The 26,400-nt window shown below is 53.5% G+C and overlaps 1 protein-coding gene and 1 long non-coding RNA gene across 13 annotated transcripts in view, besides 8 other annotated features; one reads left to right on the plus strand and one right to left on the minus strand.

Moving 5' to 3' along the window:
• Positions 1-160: a silencer, noted in NCBI's record as "silent region_19711". NCBI's record gives its function as "represses an Ori minimal core promoter by ATAC-STARR-seq in GM12878 lymphoblastoid cells {active_cell/tissue: GM12878}" and the evidence as "EXISTENCE:reporter gene assay evidence [ECO:0000049][PMID:35858748]".
• On the plus strand, positions 18-14,618 carry ZNF517 (zinc finger protein 517). Of its 12 annotated transcripts, none has more exons than NR_134284.2 (6): positions 18-42; positions 3,975-4,052; positions 4,746-4,872; positions 5,230-5,343; positions 8,296-9,591; positions 10,323-11,189. NR_134284.2 is itself a non-coding variant. In XM_047421745.1 (6 exons), the coding sequence occupies exons 2-5, from the start codon at positions 4,020-4,022 to the stop codon at positions 11,363-11,365; spliced, it is 429 nt and encodes a 142-aa protein (XP_047277701.1). In that variant the 5' UTR covers positions 18-42; positions 3,975-4,019; the 3' UTR covers positions 11,366-11,372; positions 11,897-14,618. The 12 variants fall into 12 exon arrangements, 10 of the variants coding, with proteins under 10 accessions (XP_047277701.1, NP_001371834.1, NP_001371837.1 ...); XM_047421745.1 differs by lacking the exons at positions 8,296-9,591; positions 10,323-11,189 and adding exons at positions 11,211-11,372; positions 11,897-14,618; NM_001384905.1 differs by adding an exon at positions 1,961-2,077 and having other exon boundaries at positions 8,296-11,189.
• Positions 181-380: a silencer, noted in NCBI's record as "silent region_19712". NCBI's record gives its function as "represses an Ori minimal core promoter by ATAC-STARR-seq in GM12878 lymphoblastoid cells {active_cell/tissue: GM12878}" and the evidence as "EXISTENCE:reporter gene assay evidence [ECO:0000049][PMID:35858748]".
• Positions 411-520: an enhancer, noted in NCBI's record as "active region_28104". NCBI's record gives its function as "activates an Ori minimal core promoter by ATAC-STARR-seq in GM12878 lymphoblastoid cells {active_cell/tissue: GM12878}" and the evidence as "EXISTENCE:reporter gene assay evidence [ECO:0000049][PMID:35858748]".
• Positions 411-1,322: a biological region, named in NCBI's record as "H3K27ac-H3K4me1 hESC enhancer GRCh37_chr8:146024705-146025602".
• Positions 425-1,322: an enhancer, noted in NCBI's record as "H3K27ac-H3K4me1 hESC enhancer chr8:146024705-146025602 (GRCh37/hg19 assembly coordinates)". NCBI's record gives its function as "activates a minimal SCP1, AML or CMV promoter by ChIP-STARR-seq in naive H9 embryonic stem cells {active_cell/tissue: H9 hESC(naive)}" and the evidence as "EXISTENCE:reporter gene assay evidence [ECO:0000049][PMID:30033119]".
• Positions 1,323-2,221: an enhancer, noted in NCBI's record as "H3K27ac-H3K4me1 hESC enhancer chr8:146025603-146026501 (GRCh37/hg19 assembly coordinates)". NCBI's record gives its function as "activates a minimal SCP1, AML or CMV promoter by ChIP-STARR-seq in naive H9 embryonic stem cells {active_cell/tissue: H9 hESC(naive)}" and the evidence as "EXISTENCE:reporter gene assay evidence [ECO:0000049][PMID:30033119]".
• Positions 2,222-3,119: an enhancer, noted in NCBI's record as "H3K27ac-H3K4me1 hESC enhancer chr8:146026502-146027399 (GRCh37/hg19 assembly coordinates)". NCBI's record gives its function as "activates a minimal SCP1, AML or CMV promoter by ChIP-STARR-seq in naive H9 embryonic stem cells {active_cell/tissue: H9 hESC(naive)}" and the evidence as "EXISTENCE:reporter gene assay evidence [ECO:0000049][PMID:30033119]".
• Positions 6,120-6,259: an enhancer, noted in NCBI's record as "active region_28105". NCBI's record gives its function as "activates an Ori minimal core promoter by ATAC-STARR-seq in GM12878 lymphoblastoid cells {active_cell/tissue: GM12878}" and the evidence as "EXISTENCE:reporter gene assay evidence [ECO:0000049][PMID:35858748]".
• LOC100130027 (uncharacterized) overlaps positions 9,915-26,400 on the minus strand; it is an 18,231-nt gene continuing 1,745 nt past the window's right edge. The window contains exons 2-5 of the long non-coding RNA NR_147501.1: positions 17,065-17,213; positions 15,421-15,549; positions 14,296-14,411; positions 9,915-12,181 (exon numbers count right to left, since the gene is read on the minus strand). This is a non-coding gene — a long non-coding RNA (uncharacterized LOC100130027). The remainder of the gene's footprint in view (positions 12,182-14,295; positions 14,412-15,420; positions 15,550-17,064; positions 17,214-26,400) is intronic.

Raw genomic sequence — 26,400 nt, forward strand, 5'->3', positions numbered from 1 at the left:
GGGCGCCGTGCGCTCCTCCCCGCGCTGTCTCGGCGGCCCAGGGTGAGTCGGCCGCGGCCGCGGGGCGGGGACTGGGAGGGGCGCGGTCCTCCGAGCCCGGCCTGGTGGAGGCTGTAGCCCCCGCAGTGGGCGCGCGGAGCTCGGCAGGGAGCGGACCCGCAGCCGTCACTGTCGCCTCCGCTCGCCTTGGGTTCCGAACCCTTATCGGGGCGAAGGGCCCTGCGCCCCGGTCCATGCTGGCTGTGGTCGGGGGCGTGCGGCCGGGCCCCCGAGACCCGCTCCGCCGAGCCGGACGGTTGCGCAGAGATGAGGCTGCAGGCGGGGAGGCCTGGCGAGGTGGGGCTGCTCCGGGGAGGACCAGGCTCTGCCCCTCGCTTCCGTCCGATGGCGGGCTCTTCCCGGCAGCCTCGCTCCCCGGCGGACGCCGTTTCCCGCAGCGTTCATTTACCCTGCGCAGTTTTGCCCCCTCCCCGGGTTGGGGCATTTATTGGACCAACAGTCATTTCGTAAATAGCTGTTGGGTATTTAACTGTGAGCGTTCCGGTGCTGGGGACCCCGCAGTGAGCGAACAGCCCGCCTCGCCTCCAGGAGCATGAATTGTAATAGAGGTGAGGCGTTAGTGTAACAGGCAATAACGCAGCAAAATAACTTCTGGTTTTGACAAGGGCCTCGCACAGAATAAACCAAGGAAATAAAATTGTGAGAGTTAGGGGGTTAGGGTAGCCTTGGCGGTCAGGGGAGGCTCTGTAAGGAGTTAACATTTGGCCGTGCGCAATGGCTCACGCCTGTAATCCCAGCACTTTGGGAGGCCGAGGCGGGCGGATCACGAGGTCAGGAGATCGAGACCATCCTGGCTAACACGGTGAAACCCTGTCTCTACTAAAAATACAAAAAATTAGCCGGGCGTGGTGGCGGGCGCCTGTAGTCCCAGCTACTCGGGAGGCTGAGGCAGGAGAATGGCGTGAACCCGGGAGGCGGAGCTTGCAGTGAGCCGAGATCGCGCCACTGGTCTCCAGGCTGGGCAACAGAGGGAGACTCTGTCGCAAACAACAGCAACAACAAAAAAGAGTTAACATTTGAACTGAAACCTGCTGGAGGAGAGAAGCAGCCACAGATCCCTGAGGAGAAACTCCCAGGCGGGGGAACAGAGAGAAGGCTGGCATGGCTGCGGCGTAGTGAGCCGGGTGCCCCAGGTCCCCGAGGAACAGGGCTTATTCTGCGTATGGAAGGAGGTGACCCCTCCTAGTCTTCCAGACCCCAGTTAAATGAGTTCCCCCAGTAACATTTCTTGGTGGTCCTTCATCTAAAATTAGCACCCTCCTCCCCTTGACATTTTCTGTCTCAGCAACAGCTTGATCTGTTGTCATCATATCACTGCTCCATTATTTTTAGCTCAGTGCTGTTTAATCTGATTGAAGGTTTACTTCCTAATTCCGAAGATAGAACTAAAAGCAGGTTTTTTTCCCCTCTAACCAGGTAGCCCCTCCCTGAGGACATGCACTCCCTAGACATGAGCAAACACAAAGCAGCAGTAACTTACCGCTCCTAGTCCAAGTCCTACCCTAGTCCTGGGTTGCAGTTCTTACCAGAGTGGAGGGTGGTATGTGTTGAGGGGTCGGGGATCAAGTCTTCTGGCAGCCTCATACCCTGAGATACTCTGGTTGCCTTGTTGGGGTGAGGACAACACGTGTGGCCATCGCAGTGGCCCAGGTGGGTCCTGCCACAGACTGCCCTGGACAGACAGTGAGTGGGGGCTGGGTGGGGGTGGTGTGGCCCTGCTCTTCCATGCGTTTGCAGTCTGTGCCCTCTGTGCAGGGGTGATTCACGAATCTGTCTGATCCACCCCCATCGCCCTTCGTACCCTAACATGTCAAAAGGGCTCTGCTGCCAAATGTCACTTCATAGCATTGTGACCAAGCAGCCCTCCTGCCTCTAAACGCACTCTTTATTTTTATTTGAGAGAGAACCTCACTCTGTCGCCCAGGCTGGAGTGCAGCGGGGCACACTTGGCTCACTGCAACCTCTGTCTACTCAAGCAGTTCTCCTGCCTCAGCCTCCCAAGTAGCTGGGATTACAGGTGCGTACCAGCACACTCGGCTAATTTTTGTATTTTTCGTAGAGAAGGGTTTCACCATGTTGGCCAGGCTGGTCACGAACTCCTGACTTCAAATGATCCGCCCTCATCGGCCTCCTAAAGTGCTGGAATTACAGGCATGAGTCACTGTGCCTGGCCTCTAAACACATGCTTTTTGTTAACTGATGCCTAAAGGGAAACATCTCTTTACAAAGTGGCAGCTACTTAGACGGCTCCAGCTCTACAGAAATGGATAGCCCCGGAGACCTTCACCCAAACACAAGAGCTCAAGTGTCTGTTGAAGGGAAGAGTGAGGAGAACAGGGCCTCATGCCTACTCTGTATACGTCTGCTTAGAGCAAAATTATTGTTTTGTTTTGTTTGAGACAGAGTCTCACTCTGTCGCCCAGGCTGGAGTTGGTGGCATGATCTCGGTTCACTGCAACCTCTGCCTCCTGGGCTTAAGGGATCCTCCCAGGATGACCAAGGTTGCACCATTGCACTCCCGCCTGGGCAACAAGAGCGAGTTGTCGGAGTCTCACTCTGTCACCCAGGCTGGAGTGCGGTGGCGCGATCTCAGCTCACTGCAAGCTCCGCCTCCCAGGTTCACGCCATTCTCCTGCCTCAGCCTCCCTAGTAGCTGAGACTACAGGTGCCTGCCACCATGCCCGGCTAATTTTTTGTATTTTTAGTGGAGATGGGGTTTCACCGTGTTAGCCAGGATGGTCTCTGTCTCCACCGCACCTGGCCAAAAAAGTGTTAAATTAGAAAAATAGAAAGAGGCCGGGTGTGGTGGCTCACACCTGTAATCCCAGCACTTTGGGAGACCGAGGCAAGAGATCACTTGGGTCCAGGAGTTCAAGACCAGCCTGGGCAACATAGTAAGACCTCATCAATAATAAAAACTTTTAAAAATTAGCTGGGTGTGGTGGCATGCGCCTGTAGTTCCAGCTACTCGGGAGGCTGAGGTGGGAGGATTGCTTGAGCCCAGGAAGTTGAGGCTGCAGTGAGCTGAGATCACACCACTGCGCTCCAGCCTGGGTCACGCATTGAGACCCTGTCTCAAAAAAAGGAAAGAAAAATAGGAGAAAAAGAGGAACCACTCATAATTCTATGACGCAGAGAGAGCTAGAGTTTTATGCTACCAGCTTTATTTTTCTGCTTACAGTCTGCTTGTTTCATGTAGTAAAATGCAAGAATGTTTTCTGATGTTCCCACAACATGGTTTTATTGGTTGCAGAGTCACCCATTGTTCATTTCATAATGAGCAATGTTGCCCAGGCCGGAGTGCAATGGTGCAACCTTGGCCATCCTGGGAGGAAATCTTAAGCCCAGGAGGCAGAGGTTGCAGTGAACCAAGATCACACCACCAACTCCAGCCTGGGCGACAGAGCGAAACCCCGTCTCAAACAAAACAAAACAATAATTTTGCTCTAACCAGTCACGCTTTGTTCATTTCATAAATCCTTTCTGAGCACATGCTGTGTGCCAAGCCCTTCCTCAGGCCCTAGGGGTACAGACCAGAGGCCTTGTCTAATTGGGGAAGGCAGATAAGGAGCAAGGAAGTTAACTTGTCTTATGTCAGATGGCATAGTGCTATGGAGAAAAATAAAGCAAGGAGCGAGGATAAGGAATTCCCAGGCAGGAGGGGAGGTGGCAGTTTAAAAAATGGTGGTCACAGAAGGCCTCCCAGCAAGGTGAGAGCCAGAAAACATTGGAAGGAGTGGGTGTTCCCATGGAGAAGCTTGGATACACCTCCTTGGGACGTGAAGGAGGCGGCTGATGTGATTGCCCTAGCACTTTACCCTCTCCTGCTCCCTTCTGGATCTGGAGGGGCCTTCTGGGGGGCTGGAGGGCCTTAGGCCTGGGCTCTTTCCACTCATGGCTCTATGTTCCCTCAGAATTCACTGTCTGTAGCATCTGCTCCTCCACAGAGGGACCCTGGAATGGCGATGGCACTCCCGATGCCTGGACCTCAGGTGAGCACCCCCTGAGCCCGTCCATTGCCCCAGGAGACTGCTTCGCCCCTAGCCTCAGCTTTTCAGCCCTGAGAACCTTACAGCTTGCCTCACACCCACCCACATCACAGGATGGAGTCTGCAAGCCGAGGACAGCCTCCTCGCTCTATGGCCAGGCCTCACACATGGCTCTGCCAAATCCTTCCAGCCTTTGGGCAGAAGTGGGCTTCCTGCGGCCTCCTCTGGCCCCTGAGCTTCTATGGTCAGCCATTGAGGGCAGGGTCCCTGTCCTTCCCCAGTGCCTGCCTCCTTCCTGGTGTGAATGGTCAGCCCATCCTCCCTCTCCTGATGCTGACTCACTGCTGGTGTTAGAAATTGAGACCCAGAGGGTGGGGATGCTCCCCACAGTGCAGGTGCTCCTTCCCCAAATCCCTGATAGCCTGTGGAGAGGGCGAGGCCAAGGTTGGGACCCCCTTCCTGGTAAATCTCTCTCCCTCCCCCAAGTTCAGTTTTTCCCTCTTCCTCTCTGGGGCTTCTGCTGAGAATGAGGCCGCTCACTCGGGGGGTGTTGGGCTGCCCTTTCTCTGCTGGGCCCTGTGGATGCAGCAGTGGGCAGCAAGGAGAGAGGCCTCTAGCAGATCATGCAAATGTTTCTCATCTGCTGGGTTCTCACCGAGCCCTTGACTGCCTGGATAGCAGAGTATGTGGTTGCAGGAGGCGGTTGTGTTCGAGGATGTGGCTGTGTACTTCACAAGGATAGAGTGGAGTTGCCTGGCCCCCGACCAGCAGGCACTCTACAGGGACGTGATGCTGGAGAACTATGGGAACCTGGCCTCACTAGGTGAGGGCTTCTGCCTTTGGTCCTGGGGCCGGGAGGTGCGTCTGTGTTAGCTTCAAAGGAAGTTGGTTCCATTGCAGATTCAAGGTCTGACACATTTTTGAGGGGAAGCTGGAGGCTCCCCAAGGAGCCCCTCTCTGCTTCCTGTTGGGCACCCACTGCCAGCGTCAGCCTGCCTGAGGCTTCTCTCCTGGGGCAGGCCCCCCATCTCCCCCTGGCCACCTAGCTGCCCCCTTCTGGGATAGTGAATGTTCCTGACCCACTCCAAGCACTCTGTGCCCTGATGGCCTCCAGCCAGGCACCTGGGCGTCCCTTCTCCCTCCTGTACTGATACGTGCTGCTTTCCTTCTCTGAGCTTAGGCTTTCTTGTTGCCAAACCAGCACTGATCTCCCTATTGGAGCAAGGAGAGGAGCCGGGGGCCTTGATTCTGCAGGTGGCTGAACAGAGCGTGGCCAAAGCCAGCCTGTGCACAGGTGAGTACAAAGCACCCACAGGGCGTGTCCTGTGCTGCCAATGTGGCCTGGCCTCCGGGCAGCTCTGCAGGTCCCTTCTTCTACAGTGGGAGGTGTGTATGTTTAGCTCCTCACAGCAGGGCCAGATTTCCTACTAACTGCCTTGCTTGTAGGTCTAAGGTCAAAACTAACTTATGCAGGAAGACCCAAGTGCGAGAGTTTTCCATTTTGGTGTCCCCAAGGTGTCAGGGGCCGGGTCTGTGCTCACAGTGCCATTACCCTTGGGTTGTGTAGGGACCAGCCCTACAGGGTCTGTGGGTTTTTCTCCTCATGTGCAGAGACGAGAGATCATAGAAATAAAGACACAAGACAAAGAGATAGAAGAAAAGACAGCTGGGCCTGGGGGACCACTGCCACCAAGACATGGAGACTGGTAGTGGTCCTGAATGCCTGGCTGCGCTGTTATTTATTGGATACAAGGCGAAAGGGGCAGGGTAAAGAGTGTGAGTCATTTCCAATGATTGATAAGGTCATGTGAGTCACATGTTCACCGGACAGGGGGTCCTTCCCTGTTTGACAGCCGAGGCGGAGAGAGAGACAGGACAGCTTACGCCATTATTTCTTCTATGCATTTTAATGACTTTTAGTACTTTCACTAATTCTGTTACTGCTGTCTAGAAGGCAGAGCCAGGTGTACAGGGTGGAACATGAAAGTGAAACAGGAGCATGACCACTGAAACACAGCATCACAGGGAGACGGTCAGGCCTCAGCATGGCTGTGGGCGAGTTTGACTGATGTCAGGCCTTCCACAAGAGGTGGTGGAGCAGAGTCTTCTCTAACTACCCTGGGGAAAGGAAGACTCCCTTTCCAGGTCTGCTATGTAACTAGTGCCTTCCCAGGCACTGGGGTTACTGCTAGACCAAGGTCAACTAAGTAACGGGCGTCTTCCCAGGCACTGGCGTTACCGCTAGACCAAGGAGCCCTCTAGTGGCCCTGTCCGGGCGTGACAGAGGCTCACACTCTTGTCTTCTGGTCACTTCTCACTGTGTCCCTTCAGCTCCTATCTCTGTATGGCCTGGTTTTTCCTAGGTTATAATTGTAGAACAGAGATTATTATTATTATTATTTTTGAGATGGAGTCTCGCTCTGTCGCCCAGGCTGGAGAGCAGTGGCGCGATCTCAGCTCACTGCAAGCTCCGCCTCCCGGGTTCACGCCATTCTCCTGCCTCAGCCTCCCAAGTAGCTGGGACTACAGGCGCCCGCCACCATGCCCGGCTAATTTTTTGTATTTTTAGTAGAGACGAGGTTTCACCGTGTGAGCCAGGATGGTCTCGATCTCCTGACCTTGTGATCCACCGCCTCGGCCTCCCAGAGTGCTGGGATTACAGGCGTGAGCCACCGCGCCTGGCCATTATTTTTTTTTTTGAGACGGAGTCTCGCACTTTGGCCCAGGCTGGCGCGTTCTCGGCTCACTGCAAGCTCCACCTCCCGGGTTCACGCCATTCTTCTGCCTCAGCCTCCCGAGTAGCTGGGACTACAGACGCCCACCACCACGCCCAGCCAATTTTTTTTTTTGTATTTTTAATAGAGACGAGGTTTCACCATGTTAGCGAGGATGGTCTCGATCTCCTGACCTTGTGATCCGCCGCCTCGGCCTCCCAGAGTGCTGGGATTACAGGCGTGAGCCACCACGCCTGGCCAGAACAGAGATTATTATAATATTAGAATAAAGAGTAATGCTACAAGCTGATGACTAATACTATTCATATATCATCATATCTATAATCTCTTTCTAGTATAACTATTCTTATTTTATATATTTTCTTTATTACACTGGAACAGCTTGTGCCCTCGGTCTCTTGCCTTGGCACTTGGGAGGCTTGCTTGCCCACAGGTTGCTTTGGTTTCCTGGTTCCCTATGGCCCATGTGCCAGGGACTGAGCTCAGGGCAGTGGAGGCTGCAGAAAGAACCTTGAGCTGGGGAGGAGGCCCCCAGTCCCAGAGGTCTGCGCAGGCACCTGCTCTACGCACCTGCCCAGACATGTTTGCTGAGTGCAGGAACTGTGGGTGAACTCTGAAGGAGAGAGGAGTAAAGAACATGGCTGTGGGGTGAGGTACAACTTGCACCTCATGCCTGGCCTGTCTTCCCTGCCAGACCTTGGGCCTCTCCTATGGGCTCCCCTTGAGCTAGCCTCCCACAGTGCTGGAGCCATTATTAGCCTTTTTGTTCCCTTCTCACCCGAACCCTGATTTTATTTTATTTTTATTTTTATTATTTTTTTGAGACAAGAGTTTTGCTTTTGTCGCCCAGGCTGGAGTGCAGTGGTGCGGTCTTGGCTCACTGCAACCTCCGCTTCTTGGGTTCAAGCGATTCTCCTGCCTCAGCCTCCTGAGTAGCTGGGACTACAGGCGCTCGCCACCGCACACAGATAATTTTTGTATTTTTAGTAGAGATGGGGTTTCACCGTGTTGGCCAAGCTGGTTTTGAACTCCTGACCTCAGGTGATCGGCCCACCTCGGCCTCCCAAAGTGCTGAGATTAGAGGCGTGAGCCACTGGACCTGGCCTGAAACCCTGATTTTAAAACCTCTGGCAATAATTTCTCAAACCTCCCTACACGTCTAACAAAGACTCTGTCTTCACTTGATTGTGGTATCATTTCACAGTGTAGATGTTTATTGAATCATGTTGTACACCAAAAATATATACAAGTTTTGTTTTAAGACAGTCTCACTCTTTCGCCCAGGCTGGAGTGCAATGGCTCGATCTCGGCTCACTACAACCTCTGTCTCTGGGTTCAAGCAATTCTCCTGCCTCAGCCTCCTGTATACAAGTTTTATTTGTCATTTATACCTCAGTAAAGCTGGGTGTTGGGGGAAGACTTGGGAATAAAAAGGTTATGTCTTCAAACAAGAAGTTCGTTTGTGAGTGTAGAGGCTGGATCATCCTTCCGTTTTCTGTTCCTTCTCTCAGATTCCAGGATGGAGGCTGGGATCATGGAGTCTCCTCTGCAGAGAAAGCTCTCCAGGCAGGCAGGACTGCCGGGCACCGTGTGGGGGTGCCTCCCCTGGGGGCACCCTGTGGGGGGGCACCCTGCACCACCCCACCCGCATGGCGGTCCTGAGGACGGGTCAGATAAACCCACCCACCCCCGGGCTCGGGAGCACAGCGCCTCCCCAAGGGTTCTGCAGGAAGACCTGGGCCGGCCTGTGGGGAGCTCAGCCCCCCGCTACAGGTGCGTGTGCGGCAAGGCGTTCAGATACAACTCGCTGCTTCTCAGGCACCAGATCATCCACACCGGCGCCAAGCCCTTCCAGTGCACAGAGTGCGGGAAGGCCTTCAAGCAAAGCTCCATCCTGCTGCGGCACCAGCTGATCCACACTGAGGAGAAGCCGTTCCAGTGCGGCGAGTGCGGGAAGGCCTTCCGGCAGAGCACGCAGCTGGCTGCCCACCACCGCGTCCACACCCGCGAGCGGCCCTACGCATGCGGCGAGTGCGGCAAGGCCTTCAGCCGCAGCTCCCGGCTGCTGCAGCACCAGAAGTTCCACACCGGGGAGAAGCCCTTCGCGTGCACAGAGTGCGGCAAGGCGTTCTGCCGCAGGTTCACCCTCAACGAGCACGGCCGCATCCACAGCGGGGAGCGGCCCTACCGGTGCCTGCGGTGTGGGCAGCGCTTCATCCGAGGGTCCTCGCTCCTGAAGCACCACCGGCTGCACGCGCAGGAGGGTGCCCAGGACGGCGGCGTGGGGCAGGGCGCCCTGCTCGGAGCTGCGCAGAGGCCCCAGGCGGGGGACCCGCCCCACGAGTGCCCGGTGTGCGGGAGGCCGTTCCGACACAACTCCCTGCTGCTGCTGCACCTGCGCCTACACACGGGCGAGAAGCCGTTCGAGTGCGCGGAGTGCGGCAAGGCCTTCGGTCGCAAGTCCAACCTCACTCTGCACCAGAAGATCCACACCAAGGAGAAGCCCTTCGCGTGCACCGAGTGCGGCAAGGCGTTCCGCAGGAGCTACACGCTGAACGAGCACTACCGGCTCCACAGCGGCGAGAGGCCATACCGGTGCCGCGCCTGCGGGAGGGCCTGCAGCCGGCTGTCCACCCTCATCCAGCACCAGAAGGTGCACGGCCGCGAGCCCGGGGAGGACACAGAGGGCAGGCGGGCGCCCTGTTGGGCTTCCTGATGACGGGGACGACAGGCCGAGGATTCACGCTGGAAGCCCACCCAAGCCGGCGGGGCCCTAGCGCAGAAATTCAGAACCCCCTGTCCTGAAGGTGAAGCAAAGTCTAAAGAAAGGGCCAGCTCCCATCAGGAGCTCGGCTTCTTGCTCCAGCCGGGCACTGGGGAGGGAAAGGGCACCAGGCAGCCCGTGGTGTGGCCTCAGGAACCACTATCAGCCACCATTTCCTGGGGCCTTCCGGAAATGTCCAGGAGCGGGCAGAAGGGAGAGAGGGAGGGGCAGCTATGCTCAGTCCCCAAAGAGCAGGGCACAGGGGGCGCCACAGACGCATATGCAGCTGAGCTCCCCACAGGCCGGCCCGGGTCTTCGTGCAGAACCATTGGGCACAGCCAGGCCTTAGCGCCAGGCTCCGTGTGGCGGTCAATTCCAGGTGCTGTAAAGCCGACTAACAGGGTACAGGGAGCCTTAGCTGGCTGCCATGTCTCCTGCCTGTAATCCCATCACTTTGGGAGGCTGAGGTGGGAGGTTTGCTTAAGCCCAGGAGTTTGAGACCAGCTTGGGCAACATGGTGAAACTTCTCTACAAAAAATTTAAAAATAAGTCAGGTATCGTGGTCTGTGCCTGTACGCTGTAGTCCCAGCTACTCAGGAGGCTGAGGTGGGAGGATGGGTTGAGCCTGGGAAGTCAAGGCTGCAGTGAGCTATGATAGCACCACGGCACTCCAACCTGGTTGACAGAGTGACACCCTGTTTAAAAAAAAAAAGCCTAGATGGCTGGTGGAGCTCTATCTATCTATCTATCTATCTATCTCTTTTTTTGAGGCAGGATCTCTCTGTCAGCCAGCCTGGAGTGCAATGGCACAATCATGGCTTACTGCAGCCTCCAGCTCCCAGGCTCAAGCGTTTCTCCCACCTTAGCCTCCTGAGTAGCTGGGACTAAGGCACACACACTGTACTTGGCAGCTGGCGAAGCATTGTTTCTGAGTGTGTGAGGATGTTTTCAGTGGACTCAGTGAAGATCTGCCCTCAGCGTGGGCAGGCACATCCACTTGGTTGGGGACCCAGATGGAACACAAAGGGAGAAGACAAGCAAATTCTCTTTTCTGGAGGGAGACACCCATCTCCTGCCCTTGGACATCAGGACTCCAGGTTCTTCGGCCTTTGGACTCAGGCTTGCCACAGAGGCCTCCCAGGGCTCTCGGCCAGTCAGCCTCAGAATGAGAGTTACACCACTGGCTTCCTTGGTTCAACCACCTTCTTACCTGGACTGAGCCTCACTTACAGCTTCTCTAGGTCTCCAGCTTGCAGACAGCCTATGGGAGGACTTCTCAGCCTCCATAAGTGTGTGGGCCAGTTCGCCTAATAAATCCCCTCTCCTGGCCGGGCGCGGTAGCTCTCCCCTGTAATCTCAGCATTTTGGGAGGCAGAGGTAGGTGGATCACCTGAGGTCAGGAGTTCAAGACCAGCCTGGCCAACATGGTGAGACCCCCGTCTCTACTAAAAGTACAAAAAGTAGCTGGGTGTGGTGCTGGGTGCCTGTAATCCCAGCTACTCGGGAGGCTGAAGCAGGAGAATCACTTCAACCTGGGAGGTAGAGGTTGCAGTGAGCCGAGATCGAGCCACTGCACTCCAGCCTGGGTGACAGGGCAAGACTCTGTCTCAAACAAATAAAAATCCCCTCTCCTAAACTCCATTATTGGTTTTGTCTCTCTAGAGGACCCTAATACACTGCCCAGCAGAAGCCAGGAAGGAAGCCCTGCCAGCTCAGAAGGTGGGCCAGGAGAGAAGGGTGTGGCCGGAAGGGTAGCCGGTGGGGGTGCTGCATCCTCTTGGCCCCACGGGGAGCACCCTGTCACCCCTAACAGATGAAGAGAAGGTGAGGGGGGATTGAGTTACCTGCCCACTGGTGTGTCAAACTCCATGATGGGGGTGGGAACATGCAGACCTGGCCCCTCCAAGGCCCACTGCTCCCCGGGCTGTGCGCCCCACAGTCTGTGCCAGGGGCTGCAGAAAGAGCCATGGGAAGCCTGGCCCTGGTAGGGCACCAAGATGGGGAGGGCTGGATCCACCCTCCAGAGAACAAGAATCCTGGGCAGTAGCCGGGACATGGTGGGGGAGGCTGAAGGGTTGTCCCTGAGCATCCCCAACATGGAGCTCGGAAGTCTGGGCCATGGGCAGGAAAGCACGAAGGTCAGGGCCAGCCTGGGGAACCAAGAGCTGTGCCACGATCCCTTCCACCTGGGGCAGCTGCCCACATGCCCGCCACTGGGTTCCATCACCTGAGACTCCTGGCAGGTGCCTCTCTGAGTCTTTGTCCTGTGCTGGAAACTGGGATGTGCAGCACACATCTTCACACCCACAGCACGGACAGCGGGAATAACACTTCCTTTGGGGATCCAGGGTTTCTGGTGTCTCCAGATTTTTCAGGCGCCACCATGTTCCTCTCATCCAGACGTCAGCACCCAAGGTGGAAGCAGGTCATGGCATGCCCGGCCCAGCTGCAGTCCGAGTGCAGATCCCATGGCGAGCGTGGGATCCAGCCCAAAGCACAAGCCACGCACAGCCCGCCAGGTTGAGTGGGCAGGTACCTCCAACAGCCAGCCCAGGTTGAGTGGGCAGGTACCTCCAACAGCCTGGAGCCGTGAGGCCTTGCGCAGGGGCGTTGCCGGCCGTGGAGGTCTCTGGCTGGCAAAGTGGCACCGAAAGAGTCCTGTGTCATAACCAGACTCACTTGTAGCTTCTGTTGCTCTCCCTAGCTATTTGCAAAGCATCCAGGATAGGTTCATCTAAAGACATTCTGACTCATCTTGGACACGATCCACTTACTCTGTGGACCCTGTTCACAGAACCTGGAGTCCCTGCTCACCTTCCCCAACCCCTTATTGCTGGGTCATGTTCACAAGTTTCTGTCTCTTTTTGTTCCCAGTCCCGGTACCAGCTCAGGTCCAATCAGCTTCTGAACCTCTACTGTGCAGCGCCTGAGACAGGGTGGGAGAGACACCGACAGTAAAGCTCAGCCAGGTGCAGACTGCAGCCTGGAAGCAAAGGCTGAGACAGGGTGGGAGAGACACCGACAGTAAAGCTCAGCCAGGTGCAGACTGCAGCCTGGAAGCAAAGGCTGAGACAGGGTGGGAGAGACACCGACAGTAAAGCTCAGCCAGGTGCAGACTGCAGCCTGGAAGCAAAGGCTGAGACAGGGTGGGAGAGACACGGACAGTAAAGCTCAGCCAGGTGCAGACTGCAGAATGGAAGCAAAGGCTGAGACAGAGTGGGAGAGACACCGACAGTAAAGCTCAGCCAGGTGCAGACTGCAGCGTGGAAGCAAAGGCTGAGACAGGGTGGGAGAGACACGGACAGTACGCTCAGCCAGGTGCAGACTGCAGCCTGGAAGCAAAGGCTGAGACAGGGTGGGAGAGACACGGACAGTAAAGCTCAGCCAGGTGCAGACTGCAGAATGGAAGCAAAGGCTGAGACAGGGTGGGAGAGACACGGACAGTAAAGCTCAGCCAGGTGCAGACTGCAGCCTGGAAGCAAAGGCTGAGACAGGGTGGGAGAGACACGGACAGTAAAGCTCAGCCAGGTGCAGACTGCAGAATGGAAGCAAAGGCTGAGACAGAGTGGGAGAGACACCGACAGTAAAGCTCAGCCAGGTGCAGACTGCAGAATGGAAGCAAAGGCTGAGACAGGGTGGGAGAGACACCGACAGTAAAGCTCAGCCAGGTGCAGACTGCAGCCTGGAAGCAAAGGCTGAGACAGGGTGGGAGAGACACTGACAGTAAAGCTCAGCCAGGTGCAGACTGCAGAATGGAAGCAAAGGCTGAGACAGGGTGGGAGAGACAGGGACAATAAAGCTCAGCCAGGTGCAGACTGCAGAATGGAAGCAAAGGCTGAGACAGGGTGGGAGAGACACGGACAGTAAAGCTCAGCCAGGTGCAGACTGCAGCCTGGAAGCAAAGGCTGAGACAGGGTGGGAGAGACAGGGACAATAAAGCTCAGCCAGGTGCAGACTGCAGAATGGAAGCAAAGGCTGAGACAGGGTGGGAGAGACACGGACAGTAAAGCTCAGCCAGGTGCAGACTGCAGAATGGAAGCAAAGGCTGAGACAGGGTGGGAGAGAGACGGACAGTAAAGCTCAGCCAGGTGCAGACTGCAGCCTGGAAGCAAGGGCAGTGCCATCCTCTTTCGGGGCATTTCTGGTCACTTCAGTCTGCTGGGGGGATTCCGTGTCTCACCAGGAGACTCAGGCATGGACCTGGGTTGCCACTTTCTTCCTGTTACATGGATCTCTCTACCATGCCCCAGACCCAACACCTCAGCCTTCTCAAAGCTGCACTGCAGAAGTTCTAGCCAGAGCAGCCTGGTAAGAGAAAGACGTAAAGAGCATCCAAATACTTCCTTCCAAATGAGGAAGCCAAATGGTCCTTGTTTGCATTCAACGTGATCTTATATATAGAAAACCCTAAAAGCTTTATCAAAACATTCTTAGAACAAACAAATTCAGTAAAGTTGCAGGATACAAAATTAACATACAAAACCCAGTAACATTTCTACATACCAAACTACCAAAAAAAACCAGGAAAGCAATTCCATTTACAATAGCTACCAAAACCAAAAAACAAACCTAGGAATAAATTTAACCAATGAGGCTGGGCGCAGTGGCTCATACCTGTAATACTAACACTTTGGGAGGCCGAGATGGTGGATCACGAGGTCAGGAGATTGAGACCATCCTGGCTAATACAGTGAAACCCCATCTCTACTAAAAATACAAAAAATTAGCCGGGCCTGGTGGCACACACCTGCAGTTCCAGCTACTCGGGAGGCTGAGGCAGGAGAATCGCTTGAACCTGGGCGTCGGAGGTTGCAGTGAGCCGAGATGGCACCATCGCACTCCAGCCTGGATGACAGAGCCGGACTCTGTCTCAAAAAAAAAAAAAAAAAAAAGAAAATTAACCAATGAGGTTAAAGAGCTCTACAAGGACAATTATAAAACACTGATGAATAGGTCACACACACACAAAACGGAAAGTCATCTCATGTTCATGGATTGGAATAATTAATTTGGTGAAAATGACAATACTACCAAAAGCAATTTACAGATTAAATGCAATCCCCATCAAAATACCAATGACATTCTTCACAGCAATAGGGAAAAAAAATCCCGAAATTCATATACAATGACAGAAGACGCTGAACAGCCTAAATCAATCCTGAGCAAAAAGAACAAAGCTGAAGGCATCACACTACTTTAAAATATAGTACAAAGCTATAATAATCAAAACAGCATGGGCCAGGCACAGTGGCTCATACCTATAATCCCGGAATTTTGGGAGGCCAAGGTGGGCAGCTCACATGAGGCCAGGAGTTCATGACCAGCCTGGCTAACATAGCAAAACTCCATTTCTACTAAAAATGCAAAAATCAGCCTGGCGTAGTGGTGCACACATGTAATCCCAGCTACTTGGGAGGATGTCTTGAACCCGGGGGCAGAATTTGCAGTGAGCCAAAGTCGTGCCACTGCACTCCAGCCTGGGGAACAGAGTGAGACCCTGTCTCAAAAAACAAAACCCAGCATGTTACTGATATAAAAACAGACACATAGACCAATAGAACAAAATAGAGAACCCAGAAATAAGTCCATATATTCAGTGAACTGATTTTCAACAAAGGTGCCAAGAACATTAACTGGGGAAAGAGCAGTGAATGGTGCTGGGAAAACTGGAAATACATTTTGAGGATACGCAGAAAAATGAAACTAGAACCCTATCTTGTCCGGGTGCAGTGGCTCATGCCTGTAATCTCAGCACTTTGGGAGGCCGAGGTGGGCAGATCATTTGAGGTCAGGAGTTTGAGACCAGCCTGGCCAACATGGCGAAACCTGTCTACTAAAAATACAAAAATTAGCCAGGTGTGGTGGCACACACCTGTAATCCCAGCTACTTGGGAGGCTGAGGCAGGAGAATTGCTTGAACCAGGGAGTGGAGCGGCGAGTGGAGGTTGCAGTGAGCTGAGAGCACGCCACTTCACTCCAGCCTGGGAGAAAGAGTGAGACTCTGTAAAACAAACAAACAAAAACAAAACAAAACAAAAACCTATCTCTCACCATATATAAAAATCAAATCAAAATAGATTAAAGATGAAAGACATAAATGTAAAACCTGAAAGTATGAAACTACTAGAAGAAAACATTGGGGATATGCTTCAGGACACTGGTCTGGGCAAAGATTTTTTGGGTAAGATCTCAAAAGCAAAGGCAACAAAAGCTAAAATAGATAAGTGGGATTATATCACTCTAAAAACCTGCACAGCCAAGGAAACAACAGAGACAACCTACAGAATGGGAGAAATTTTTTACTAACTATCCATCTGACAAGGGATGAATGACCAGAATATCCTACAGAAATGGGTTTGCCAAAAAAAAAAAAAAAAAAAAAAAAATAGGCCAGGCGCAGTGGCTCACACCTGTAATCCCAGCACTTTGGGAGGCCAAGATGGGCGGATCACGAGGTCAGGAGATCGAGGCCATCCTGGCTAACACGGTGAAACCCCCGTCTCTACTGAAAATACAAAAAAATTAGCCGGGCGCGGTGGTGAGCACCTGTAGTCCCAGCTACTCGGGAGGCTGAGGCAGGAGAATGGCGTGAACCCGGGAGGTGGAGGTTGCAGTGAGCCGAGATCGTGCCACTGCACTCCAGCCTGGGCGACAGAGTGAGACTCCGTCTCAAAAAAAGAAAAAAAAAAAAAAGAATAACGAGAATATATAAGGAACTCGCACAACTCAATAGCAAAAAAAAAAAATAATAATAGTAATAATCTGATTTTAAAAGGCAAGTGATCTGAATAGACATTTTACAAAAGATGTACAAACGGCCAACAGGGGCCAGGTGCAGTGGCTCACGCCTGTTAATCCCAGCAGTTTGGGAGGCTGAGGCAGGTGGATTACTGTGGCCAGGAATTTGAGACTAGTCTGGCCAACATGGTAAAACCCTGTCTCTACTAAAAATACAAAAATTAGCTGGGCATGGTAGCTTGTGCTTGTAGTCCCAGCTGCTTGGGAGGCTGAAGCCCAAGAATTGCTTGAACCCGGGTGGCAGAGGTTGCAGTGAGCTGAGATTGCACACTGCATTCCAGCCTGGGTGACAGAGACTCTGTCTCAAAAAAAAAAAAAAAAAAAAAGCCAAAAAAAAAAGGGTCAACATCACTAATCATCAGAGAAATGCAAATCAAAACCACAATGAGATATCATCTCATCCAGTTAAAATGATTATTAACAAAAAGACAACAGATGCTGGTGAGGATGTGGAGAAAGCAGGTACTCTGCTGGTGGGAATGTAAACTATACAGCCACTGTGGAAAACACTGGAGTTTTCTCAAAAAGCTGAAAAATAGACCTACCATATGATCCAGCAATCCCACTGCTGGGTATATTTCCAAAAGAAAGGAAATCAGTATATCAAAGAGTTGTCTTTACTCATGTTTACTGCGGCACTATTCACAATAGCCAAGATAGGAATCAACCTAAGTGTCCATCAGCATGTGAATGGATAAAGAAAATGAGGTACACTTACACAGTGGAGAACTATTCATCGTCAAAGGAGGAAATCCTAGGCCGGGCGCGGTGGTTCACGCCTGTAATCCCAGCACTTTGGGAGGCTGAGGCAGGCAGATCACCTGAGGTCAGGAGTTCGAGACCAGCCTCAACATGGAGAAACCCCGTCTGTAGTAAAAATACAAAATTAGCCAGGTGTGGTGGTGCATGCCTGTAATTCCAGCTACTCAGGAGGCTGAGGCAGGAGAATTGCTTGAAACTGGGAGGCGGAGGTTGCAGTGAGCCGAGATCGCGCCATTGCACTCCAGCCTGGGCAACAAGAGGAAAACTCCGTCTCAAAAAAAAAAAAAAAAAAAAAATTCCTGTCGTTTGTAGCAACATGGATAGAACTGGAGGTCATTATGTTAAGTGAAATAAGCCAGGTACAGAAGACAAATACTGTACATTCTCACTCATACGTGGGAGTTAATAAAGTTTATCTTGGCCAGGCACAGTGGCTCACGCCTGTAATCCCAGCACTTTGGGAGGCTGAGGCAGGCAGATCACCTGAGGTCAGGAGTTTGAGACCAGCCTGGCCAACATGGCGAAACTCCGTCTGTACCAAAAATATAAAAAATTAGCCGGGCATGGTGACGCGTGCCTGTAATCCCAGTTACTCCGGAGGCTGAGGCAGGAGAATCACTTGAACCTAGGAGGCAGAGGTTGCAATGAGCCAAGATCACGCCACGGCACTCCAGCCTGGGCGACAGAGCAAGACTCCATCTCAAAAAAAAAAAAAAAAAGTTGGTCTAATGTAGGTAGAGAGTAGAATGATGGTTACTGGAGGCTAGGAAGGATGGGGTGGGAGATGAATATATGTTGATTAATGGGTACAAACATAAAGTTAGATAGAAGAAATATATTCCAGTGTTTGATAGCACACTAGGGTGATGATAGTTGTAATAATTTATTGCATATTTAAAAATAGCTAGAAGATTTGAAATGTTTCCAACACAAATAAATGATAAACGTTTGAGGTGATGGGTATCATAATCAATGTGATTTGATCATTGCACATTGTATTCGTGTGTAAATATCAAAATACGACATGTACCCCATATATAGGTACAATTATTACATATCCATCGATCAACTAGGGGGGCATTCTCACCTCACGCACTTCTCCTAACTATTGGCCGCTTCCCAGAACCTTATACTTGTCTCTGCAGTTTATTTTCTTATTCTAATACCTATTCTGACTTCTTTTAAAAATGTGTCTTTCCTTCTGTTTTTCCCCCAGTGATTATGTACTCCCTACCACTGCCAAACTTTCTGAAAGGGCTGTCATTGTCTCCACTTCCCTTGCCTCTCGTTCACTCTTTGAAATACTGCAGTTGGATTTTGAACCCCATTACTCCATTAAAATCATCCTCACCAAGTCACCAGCTGACCTCCTTATGCTGAAAACAGCGGACTCTTGTCATTCTTGCCCTCTGAGCACTCGACCGTGCCTTCCTCTCAATCGTCCCTTCCCTGTATTTTCATGACACTGCACTCTGGGTTTTCCTTCTACCTCTCCACTACTCCATCTTTTCCTTTGCCCATTCCTTAAAGATTCATATTGCTGGCCGGGCGCGGTGGCTCATGCCTGTAATCCCAGCACTTTGGGAGGCCGAGGTGGGTGGATCACTTGAGGTCAGGAGATAGAGACCATCCTGGCCAACATAGTAAAACCCCATCTCTACTAAAAAGACAAAAATTAGCCGGGCGTGGTGGCACACACCTGTAGTCCAGCTACTTGGGAAGCTGAGGCAGGAGAATCACTTGAACCCAGGAAGCGGAGGTTGCAGTGAGCCAAGACTGCGCCATTGCACTCCAGCGTGGGTGACAGAGTGAGACTCTGTCTCAAAAAAAAAAAAAAGGTTAATATTTCTTTCTGTCCTAAAGCCATCTGTCTCTTCATTTGACATACCCACTGGACAATTTCATACACTTCCATGGCTAAATTATCTTCTGTAGATGTTGGTGGCATCTAACCTCTAGTCCACATCTCCTGAATTTCCTATCTATATATCCAACTCTCTACAGGACATCTTTATTTGTATGTCTCGAAATGCCTTTTAAATCAAACTCATCATCTCCCAACACTCTCATTTGCCACTGTATCTCAAGTACCCAGGAAACACATTAAGCCTCTAAAAAACATTAATGGCCAGACACTGTGGCTCACACCTGTAATTCCAACATTTTGGGAGGCTGAGACGGGAGAATCCCTTAAGGCAAGGAGTTTGAGACCAGCCTGGCCACATGCATGTGTAAATGTCAAAATATCACATGTGCCCCATAAATACGTACAATTGTTATGTATCACTACAGGCAACATATTGAGACTGTCTCTTAAAAAAAAAAAATCGGCCGGGCGCAGTGGCTCACCCCTGTAATCCCAGCACTTTGGGAGGCTGAGGCAGGCGGATCACGAGGTCAGGAGATCGAGACCATCCTGGCTAACACGGTGAAACCCCGTCTCCACTAAAAATACAAAAAATTAGCTGGGCGTGGTGGCGGGCACCTGTAGTCCCAGCTACTCAGGAGGCTGAGGCAGGAGAATGGCGTGAACCCGGGAGGCAGAGCTTGCAGTGAGCCGAGATCGCGCCACTGCACTCCAGCCTGGGCGAAAGAGCGAGACTCTGTCTCCGGAAAAAAAAAAAAAAGAAAGATCAAATGATCAAATGATGTGAGGCTGTGGTGCCCGCTTTGTAGAAATGAAAGGATCTAATTGAAGACAGAAGTTTTGGGCACAGAGGCCACAGCCCAAATCCTTCACCTAAAATCACTATCTCTGAGCTACTTTTTAACTTTAAAATAAAAGGAAAAAATAAAAAATAAAAAATAAAATAAAATAAAAGGAGGCTGGGCGTGGTGACTCATGCCTGTAATCCCAGCACTTTGGGAGGCTGAGGTAGGTGGATAGCTTGAGGCCAGGAGTTCAAGACCAGCCTGGCCAACATGGCAAAACCCTGTCTTTACTAAAAATACAAAAATTAGCCGGGTGTGGTGGTGCGCGCCTGTAGTCCCAGCTACTCGGGAGGCTGAGGCACAAGAACCGATTGAACCCGGGAGGTGGAGGTTGCAGTGAGCTGAGATCACACCAGCCTGGCTGACAGAGTGAGACTCTGCCTAAAAATAAATAAATAAAAATAAAATAAAATAAAATGTAAAAAGAAACAGGTAACATTAAATACAGTAATACACTTTATTTACCTTAAATCCAAAATATAATTCCAAATGCAATCAATATAAAAAAATCATCGGTGAGAGATTTGATTTGATTTTTCATACTGAGTCTTTGAAATCAAGTGTTTTCATTTGTGGCACATGTCGATTTGGACGGGGCACTTTCCAGGTGTCTGATGGCCACGTGGGGCTTGAGCCCACCATGCTGGACACTGCAGGTCCTGACTAAAGGGGCGCTGGGGTGGGTGAACTGCTGCCTGGCCCCACTTCTGGCCCCTCCTTTCCTGCAGCCCTTCCCACAGGGCCTGCCACTTCTCCCGCTCCCTGCCCCAGGCCACTGTTGGGGAGGTCAGCATAGCCCTTGTCCCCTAAGTTAAATGGAGGGGCAAATCTGCAAGCTTCTGCCCAAAACGTCTCGGAGTGGACACTTCAACCTGGCAGCAACTCTGGGGCCAGTTAGCTTGGATTTCTACGTAACGGGCAAAATGTCATAGGCTCCCACAAGGAAGCAGCGCCCTCCACCCAGCTCTGTGGCCTTTGGCTCTAATCTGACACTGTATGGGTGGCCAGGCCCCCAGGCTGGACCCACAGCAGCCTCCCACTACCGCCAGTGGCCTGAGATTGGCAGTTAGAACTCAGATCCTGAAACTAAACCACATCCTGCAGAACACTAAGCAAGGGACTCACTTTATGATCTAAGATCCAAACTCCTTTGTGAACTCCCCATTGTCTGGCTTGGGGAAAAAAGCCTGTCACTAACTGAGGAGTCTAGTTACTCACACTTCTTCACCAGCAGCCCAAGGGGGTCTGACAGGGGGTAGGGGGAGATCACATTGCATTGGAAAAAGAAACCCCCAGCCTATGGGACACAAGCTCCTTTCACCTGTGCTCCTCCTCTCCTGCTCAGCATCACACCTGGCCTGCAATCACCCACAACTGTCCTCCTCCCACACACAGCTGCTGTGGAAGGCAGGAGGTGGTTCTGTGGGCGTGGGGGAGACCCTGGTGGCACCCTTAGCAGCCTGACCTCTGTGCCTCCGTGTCTCACCTGCAAAGGAGGGCATCTCCTGCCTCACAGGTGCTTGTGAGGACGAGCTGAGAGACCAGCTTTTGAACGGGGAGGGGCTGTGACATGTCAGGGCTGTTCTGGACCCAGGGTTACTGCAGTGAACCAGAAAGATTGTGCTGCAGGAGCCGAGGAGGTTGCCCTGACAGGCCTGGAAGTGGCTTAGGCTTGGATCCTCCATCCCTGAGCACCTGGCATCGGGCAGACCAGCCTCCCTGGGGCAATGCCCACTGAGAAGCTGCAAAGCATCCTCCTGGACCATCTGTACCCTGGGGGGACATCCCTTGGTCCCTCTGTACCCTGCAGACCGGCCCCTCTTGAGGGACACACAGACTCCGGCAAGGCAGGAGCCAAGGGCAGTGAAGCAAACCTGTCAAGGTGCTGCCGTTCCCTTGGGTGTCTCCCGCCAAGCGGCCTCCATTCTCAAGGAAGGGAGCACCGGCCACCTGTATGCATCCACCGCGCGAGTGCGCAGGGGCAGGCTTGCCAGGACGGAGCGGCCTTGCCACCCACTGCCCACGAAGGCATCCTGGCACACCCAGCATGGTCTGAAACCCTCGTATGAAGGAGGAGCTTCTCACAGCCTGCTGCTGCCCCAGCCACAAGAAACACAGGAGCACAGGTAGGGCCCACGGAGTCCTTGAGGCCTGCTACGAGGGGCCAGTAACTACGTTTACGCCAGCAGCCATAAGCACAGGGACACAGGCAGATACCACCAGCCCGGGAAGGACGGGTGCGGTGGCTCACGTGCCACCTGCCTTCTTGCCGCAGCAGGCCTGTGGCCACTCTCTGGCTCTGCCTATCCCCATGCAGGCTGGACCTGTGGGGCACTGGTCCCTGGAGGACTCGAGGTCATGGGAGACTCTGACCCTGCCCCCAAGGAGTCTAGGGGAGCTCAGAGGTGCTCAGCTGGAGACAGGCCTGTGAGGGAAAACTGTCATTCACGCCGCAGGCCACATAAGAGTGACCAAGGGGTCACAGGTCTGAAAGGGCACTGGCGAGGAAGATGGGGAGGGCACCAGTGGGGGCCAGATGAGGACTCCGGGGCCCTGAGGCCTGAGAACAACCTTCACCTGCCGTGAGACACACCTGACGGCTGCACCTGCCGCTGATGTGGAGGCAGCCAGAGCTGCGGCCAGGAGTTCAGGACCAGCCTGTCAGCAGCTGCCAGAGAGGCCCCACCAGGCACCCCCAGTGCCTCTCACCTGCCAGGCTCTAAGCTCTGGAGCTGTCTGTTCTCAGAGTCCACCCCAAGGAGGCAAGACACTGTTGGGCCTCACAAGCCCTGTGCCCCGGCTGTCGCCTGCATCGACATGGCCCAGCAATCCAAGCCGGCTCATCCGGCAGCTCCAGGGCCCCTCGGTGTTCGTGGGTCTTTGTGAGCTGGGGAGAGCTGGAGAGAGGCCCCTCCGCGTTCGTGGGTCTTTGTGAGCTGGGGAGAGCTGGAGAGAGGCCCCTCCGCGTTCGTGGGTCTTTGTGAGCTGGGGAGAGCTGGTGAGCAGGCCCCCCTTCTGTGAAACAATCTGGGCCTCAATGATGAGTCAAGACTCAGGTCCAGTCCTGGTGGCCGGCCACCCTCCCTCCTCTAGGACACCCTCCTCTTGTCCATCACACCAGGACGTCCCCTTCTCCTCCCTCTAACTTCCACTGAGAATGGCCGGCCGTCCACGGGCTCCACGCCCCTAGCCAGGGCTACAGTCCTCACAACCTGGCTTGAGGTCTGAGCTACCGGCTGAGGGTTTCTGCCCTGGGCTCTAGCCGTGGCCTCCTGGCTCCTTTGTTTTCTTTCTTTTCTTTTTTTTTTTTGAGACAAGGTCTGGTTCCATCACCCAGGCTGGAGTGCAGTGTCGTGATCTTGGCTCACTGCAACCTCCGCCTCCCAGGTTCAAGTGATTCTCCTGCCTCAGCCTCCTGAGTAGCTGGGACTACAGGCACCCGCCACCACGCCAGGCTAATTTTTGTATTTTTTGTAGAGACAGGGTCTTGCCATGTTGCCCCGTCTGATCTAGAACTCGTGAGCTCAAGCCATTTGCCCTCTTTGGCCTCCCAAAGTGCTGGGATTATACGCACGAGCCACCGTGCCCGGCTGACTCCTTTTTCTGAAACTCTTGAAAACTTCTTGTCTCTACACCTGCTCAAATTCAAAATCTACTCCCAAACCCCAAGACTGCAAAGAAACAACAGTCAAATCTCAGCCATCCCCAGCCACAAGCCCAAGGCTGATGGACAGACCCCCACCTAGACCCAAACTGCGTCTCTGTCCTGGGGGGACAGACCCGGCCTGGACCCCTCTGTGCTGAGCCCCTCTGGTCCTGGGCACCTCAGCAGTCCCACCAACCTCTCACCACACCATCTCTGTCGCCACTCGGGTGCTGCAGAGTCTGCAATGGTGGTTGATTGACAGCTCCCCCTCTCCTCCATGGTACAGCCCCCACCAGCAATGCAGCTGTTCCTGTTCAACAACAGGCCCCGAATGACCAATATGACAACATGGAGGTCCTAACAGCTGCTAATCGAACCCCAGGTTTCTCCTGCTTGAACCCAGGGAAGGATCCCTTGCCTCCTGAGATGCACTTCAAACGGCCATGTGCTGCTGAAGGGCCTGGAAACCCAGCCTCACCTGACCTCACTTCTCCTCACCCTCACCTGGAATGACCACAGTCCCTGCACCAGGGCAAAGCCAATCGCTGTCATTCAGGCTGCTCCTCCCTGACCGACCATCTCCCCTCAGGACCCCTGGTGCCCTGAACAGCAGGCACAGAGAAGACCCTCCAAGGTCACGGCAGTAGATACCCTCTCCCAGCCCATGTCACCGGGTCCTCAAGCTGGAAGCCTCACTGTCGACTCATAACCAGCCCGTGTGGCACTGCTTCCTGAGGCTGCCTCCCCCTGGACATCCCTGGTGTGATGGCAGCACGGCCATCCCCAACGCACAGCAGAGCCTCCATCTCCAGGGCCTCTGTGCCATCCTCCTCTGTGTGTGCGCAGCAGCCTCTACTGCTGTTCCCAAAACCCCAGTCCTGTGGCTGCTCTGGCACTCGTGGGTCTCTGTATGGCATGGTGCCCAGGTGGGGCCAGCTGTCTGCCCCAGCCCTCCGTGAGGTGGGCGCTGTGGCTCTTGGAGGCTCCTGGCTCCTAGTTCTCTGTCCTCCGAAACTTCTGAGCTCCCAGGCCCACTCCAAGTTGTGGCCTGGCCTATGGCAGTGGAGCTGTGTCCACCCTGTTCACGCTCACTCACCTCTGCTAGGGTCCCTTGGGAGCACTCTCCCCCGTTTCTGGCCGGGTGAGGATCCAGGGCGCCTCCCCTCATTCCAGCAGGGAGATTAGCTCAGGTTTGCAGGCTGGAAATCCTGCTTGAGGAAAACAGTCCAGAGGCCTGGAGTGAGCCTGGGGAGGTGCAGCAGGCAGGGCCTGAACCGGCGGACCCTCATACCCAGCTAGCCAGGCGGGCTGCCCACAGGACACTTGAAGGGTAGGAAGCGGCTGCCAAGATCTCACCCCCAAAGATGCCCAGCTGGCACAAGCCTCCAGTCTCTCTTGATTTGGCTGTTAGAGAAAAGCAGATTCTGCTTGTGGTTGTCATCATGCCATCCCAAACAGATCATCACTACAGGGAGGCACGATCTCTGTACTCTGATGGGTGCGGCATGGGTGAGGACTGACTGTCCAGAGGGCCCAGGGTGCCTTCCAGGAACACCTACAGCACCGCGACCTGATGCTCACCTCACCCCATCCCACAGCAGCCCAGTGCCCTCCTGGCAGTGCCCACTCCTCCCCAGCTCACCCGTCAGGCACTGTTCCTCCCTAGGTGTTCTCTCCACTGCATAGAGGCTTGGACCCGACTTCACGAAGACATTTTGAAACCATGCACCAGAGAGTGTGTGCATAGAATGAAGAACCTTTTGTTTGCAGGGCTCCGTCCCTGCTCTCCAGGGTCACCCAAGCATTTGGGGCCTTGATCCTGGAGAGGCTGCTCCCTCCAGGGCTAGCTAATTCCCAGAGACGGCAAACACTCCCCTTCCAGTGCACCTTTTTTTTTTTTTTTTGAGACGGAGTCTCGCTCTGTCACCCAGGCTGGAGTGCAGTGGCGTGATCTGGGCTCACTGTAGCCTCTGCCTCCTGCGTGCAGGCGATTCTCCCACCTCAGCCTCCTGAATACCTGGGACTACATGCGTGCACCACCACACCCTGCTAATTTTTTTGTATTTTAATAGAGACGAGGTTTCACCATGTTGGCCAGGCTGGTCTCACCTCAGGTGATCTGCCCTCCTCGGCCTCCAAAGTGCTGGGATTACAAGCGTGAGCCACTGTGCCCAGCCCCAGTGCACCTTTGAGACACAAACCAACCAATCCAGAGTCCACAACTATCTCCCTCCCTTATCACACGGTCACTCACCAAGCCAATATTTCCCCTGCCCTAAGTAACCCGAGGGCCAGGTACCGGACAAGAAGGGGCCACCCCTACAGCCCTGAGCCTGCCACAATTGTTCAAATAGTCCAATCGTGAGCTCACTCTGCATACCTACCCTGCCTGCCCTCTCCTTCCAGAGAAAATAAAGGCTCCGGCCAAACTCAGTCCTCTCCCCCTTTCTGCCTCCTGGCCATCCCTGGTCCTTCTCATGTCGCCCTGTGTGCCCTGCCCAGTTTCCAGGGACCCACGACTATAACTTCTTCCTTCACAACAGTCATTCTCACGTGTGCATGCCTTACCACACCTGTTAAAACAAATCCACGGGTCCGGGCGCGGTGGCTCACGCTTGTAATCCCAGCAATTTGGGCGACCGAGGTGGGCAGATCTCCTGAGGTCAGGAGTTCGAGACCAGCCTGGCTAACATGGTGAAACCCCGTTTCTACTAAAAATACAAAAAATTAGCCAGGCGTGGTGGCAGGTGCCTGTAATCTCAGCTACTCGGGAGGCCGAGGCAGGAGAATCGCTTGAACCCGGGAGCAGAGGTTGCAGTGAGCTGAGACTGTCATTGCACTCCAGCCTGGGCAACAAAAGTGAAACTCTGCCTTAAAAAACAAACAAACAAACAAAAAACAAATCCAGGATACATTTGAACTCACCTTGAGATG

Source organism: Homo sapiens, chromosome 8, assembly GCF_000001405.40.
Source record: "Homo sapiens chromosome 8, GRCh38.p14 Primary Assembly".
NCBI classification, from domain to species: Eukaryota; Metazoa; Chordata; class Mammalia; order Primates; family Hominidae; genus Homo; species Homo sapiens.

Bases quoted from the DNA above. Each gene is read 5' to 3' on its own strand.
- ZNF517 (NM_001384904.1), top strand. From the start codon at position 4,020: ATGGCGATGGCACTCCCGATGCCTGGACCTCAG. The intron at 4,053-4,745 runs GTGAGCACCCCC...ATGTGGTTGCAG, and splicing joins TCCCGATGCCTGGACCTCAG to GAGGCGGTTGTGTTCGAGGA. The intron at 5,344-8,295 runs GTGAGTACAAAG...TCCTTCTCTCAG, and splicing joins CAAAGCCAGCCTGTGCACAG to ATTCCAGGATGGAGGCTGGG.